Genomic DNA, 3,808 nt, shown 5'->3' on the forward strand with positions numbered 1-3,808 from the left:
ATGTTCCACTACTATACTAAGTATCTATTCCTTCCTTATAGAAAGTTTCTTGTCAGTATGACAAGTACAACTGGAACATCATGGATAGAGGTGTGTGTTGTCGTTCTTGAATGACATTAAGTATATATGTACTGTAAATAGAGTAAAATTGTAAGGCATTTCAATAAAATTAATTGTAACTGATTTGATTAATTTCACTGGCATGCCAAGTGCATTACATTAAGATATTAGATAAGTATCATCAAATAATATATATGTAATTTTTATAATGATGAACTACCATGTGACACAGTATTGGCATGCTATCCCATTAAATAAACCACAATCAAGAAGTTCTTTAGATTAACTTCTTAATTTTGCCAATAGTTTCTCAATATTTCAAAGAAGAATTGCACTTTAATACCACATAATTTTTTCTAAGATCTTTCTTGGTGTCTTCGTTAAAAATGTAAACTCTGGAGTCATATATCTGGATTTGAGTTCTAATTTCTACATTAATAAGTAGTTGTGACTTTAAACACTTTTTGTAACCTTTGGTGAATATCATTCCTTTTGTGAAAAATAAGACTAAACATACCTATATTTTAGGGTTGTTCTGAAAATTAAATGATTCGAAGCACAGAAAAATTACTTAGAACTAAGAATAACAAGCATTCCATAAATACCAGTAACTAGTCTATTTCATGTATCTGCCATTAGTCCCATGGCAACTGATCTTCTTTTGCTTCTCTTATTTCTATTTTTTGGCAATCTATATCTAGTTTTCTTAAAATTCTTGTCCCCTTGTATCTATCTGCTTCCCCCCACAACCCCCACTCTCTCTCACTAAGTATGTCTGGTCATTTCCCAATTCTCAAACTTGTTAGCTCCTGCCAAATATAGTGTCAAGAATCTAGCAGGCAAAAGCGAAATTTCCTTACCTGGCAGCTTGAGAGGTCAAGGATGTGTATTACTGTAACTACAGCATTCAAAATTACAGGAAGGAGAGAATACCAATTTTATTTTAAGTTAATTATTGATGTATTAAAAGTATTCTATATCCTTAAGAATCACATCAGTTTCAAGGACAACCCTTTTTCCTGATCACTTGGCTACATTGCAAAATTTTTCAAAGGTCACATAGTAGCTAGATGTATAATTTATTAAATTGAATGATTTTAGAATGTAACTAAATTTAGGTATGTTCCATTCCCTTAATTACTTGTACAAAGTGTTCTTATGTTAGGAACTTAAAAGGAGTTATGAAATAAATGCTTTTGACATAGTATTGGAAAATCCTATTATAGATCATATAAATTTATAAGCAACTAACGTAGTTTATTACTAACATGTCATAGACATCATTTTTTAAAGGATTATGAAGGGATTAAAGATAAACATTGGGTTAAAGCATTACACTAAAAATGTGAAGTGCATTACCATTTGAAGTACACTTATCTTTTCTCCAATTCCTTGTACTTCAACAATCAGAAGGTCTTAAATATACATGATGACACTCAAAAATGCATTTATAATTTAAATTAACACAATCAGAACTTGAATTGGCAAATATTCCATTTTCTTTTTAAGAAATTTTAATTAATAACTTTAACAGAGTTATAAAACTGTGAAATACCTTTCTATCTGTGAGGGGAAAAAAATCATGTAATCATCTGTCAGTTACCTGCATAATAAAGTGAGTTACAAAATCCTTTGTTATCCCTATAAGATAGTTCATGCTGCAGAAGGGTAATAATTTAGGAGAAAGTATAAAGACCTGTAAGAAAAAGAAAATGGTCTCTCATCTTGACTTTGATACTAAAACTCTATAACCTCAGTAAGTTAGCTTTCTGAGTCTCAAGTTTCTTCTTTGGAAAATAAAGGATTTTGTCTATTGATTCTGAAATTTTTCATTCTTTTAAAAATTAGTAAATTCTATTACAAGCTCAATTACCTCATTCTCTTTGATGGTCCAAAGAAAGTATGATTAGCAAATATATTAAACGTTTTGATCTAAATTTAGATTGTGTCTTTGATTCATTTCCCAACTTGGCACAGTATCTAGAACAAATAGAATATAGAAAGGCTTGTAAAGTAGACATGAAGAATGGGAAAGTTTAAAGTTATGCGTTTAAATATATTTACAGATTATGCTAAGTGTGGAAGATCCAAAGATAAAGAAGTAGCGTTTCCTTAGGAAAATTTAAAGACTAATAGCTTCTCTTTCATTAGCCTTTGCTATGGCCACTTCATCATGATGGTTTAAACTCAGAAGTATCTGTCATCCCAGACAGATATTTTTGTTGGCCCTGAGGCTAAAATCATTTATTAAAATTCAACCTGAAAACTATTAATTTTTGTTACAGTTTGACTGAATTAAAATGACTTCCTGAAAATTGTTAATGTCCTTTTTATTCAGCTTTTTATCTTGAGATCATGTTAAATTTACACACTATGTTGATATTGTGTGGAAATCCCCAAGCATCAGGAAAAATGTAAATAAATATAAATATAGACAGCCTCTCTTTAGTAAAACTAAGGTTTATATTTCATTTTGGAGAATAGATTAGTAGAAAATCTCCAAGGTCTTTCTTTAATGTTTGTCACTGTTACCACCCAAAAAAGATAAACCACCAATTCATGAAAGAAAAAATAAGGTCATAAATTATTAGTGCATCCCTTTTTGGCTGGTGATAGGGGCCTTGATCAAAGTATAAAGACCTAAGATCTTTCAGAAGAATGTGCTGGCCATATTAAGGCAAAACACTCCTGCACTTTTTTATTTTACAGGGAATTTATTGAAGAGTTTCTGTCCACAACTTTAATCCTACAATATGAACTATACATAAAGTAGACAGGAGGTTTTTATTTGAGGTCAAAGAAATTGCCTGTCAGAAATACATAGTGGGGCAAAGATTTTGATATGTACATAGCTTAAAATGTAGCTTAAAAATGTCAGTATTAAAAATAAATATTTGACCGATGATTTAAAGAGATGAGGCTGGGTGTGGTGGCTCACGCCTGAAATCCCAGCACTTTGGGAGACCGAGGCTGACATCTCATTTGAGGTCAGGAGTTCTAGACCAGCCTGGCCAAAATGGTGAAACTCCTTCTTTACCAATAAATAAATAAGACAAGACAATAATTGATTCAACTAAATAATAAGATATAGGAAATATAGAGAGAATTTATGTTATCTCCTCTGATATGAAGGGTAAGAATAGGAGAATAGGTAAACATCTAGAATCCATTTGCAGTGATAAAGCAAATACAGGTTGGCCACAGAACAGTTGACAACAAAGTCTTAGTCTGGACTTCTTTCTTGCCTGGACTAAACGAACAATAAAATTATAAAATAAAGTTTCAGAGATTTTGAGGAAAAAAATGTGGTTACTTTACATGACAAAATCATATTTTTTTAAATAAAAAAAGAAGACAAAGAAAAAGAAGAGGAGGAGGAGAAAAAGGAGGAGGCGGAGAAAGAATAATATATTTATCATTTAAATTAACATAATCAGAACTTGAATTAGCAAGTTCTGCTTGCTAATTTGCTTTTAAGAAATTTTAAGTAATAACTTTAACAGAGTTATAAAACTGTGAAACACCTTTCTATTTGTGAGGAAAAAACATCATGTAATCACTTGTCAGTTACCTGCGTAATAAAGTGAGTTACAAAGTCTTTTGTTATCCTTGTAAGATAGTTCATGTTGCAAAAGGGTAATAATTTAGGAGAAAGTATAAAGACCTGTAAGAAAAAGAAAATGGTCTCTCATCTTGACTTTGATACTAAAACTATATAACCTCAGCTAAGTTAGCTTTCTGAGTCTCA

The 3,808-nt window shown here is 30.9% G+C and overlaps 1 annotated feature.

Annotated features, from left to right (window-relative positions):
- Nucleotides 2,153-2,322: an enhancer, noted in NCBI's record as "experimental_74415 CRE fragment used in MPRA reporter constructs". NCBI's record gives its function as "activates a minimal promoter by MPRAs in K562 erythroleukemia cells, with activity observed for the non-introgressed 4:131173552 variant allele {active_cell/tissue: K562}" and the evidence as "EXISTENCE:reporter gene assay evidence [ECO:0000049][PMID:34662402]".

Source organism: Homo sapiens, chromosome 4, assembly GCF_000001405.40.
Source record: "Homo sapiens chromosome 4, GRCh38.p14 Primary Assembly".
In the NCBI taxonomy this organism is placed as follows: Eukaryota; Metazoa; Chordata; class Mammalia; order Primates; family Hominidae; genus Homo; species Homo sapiens.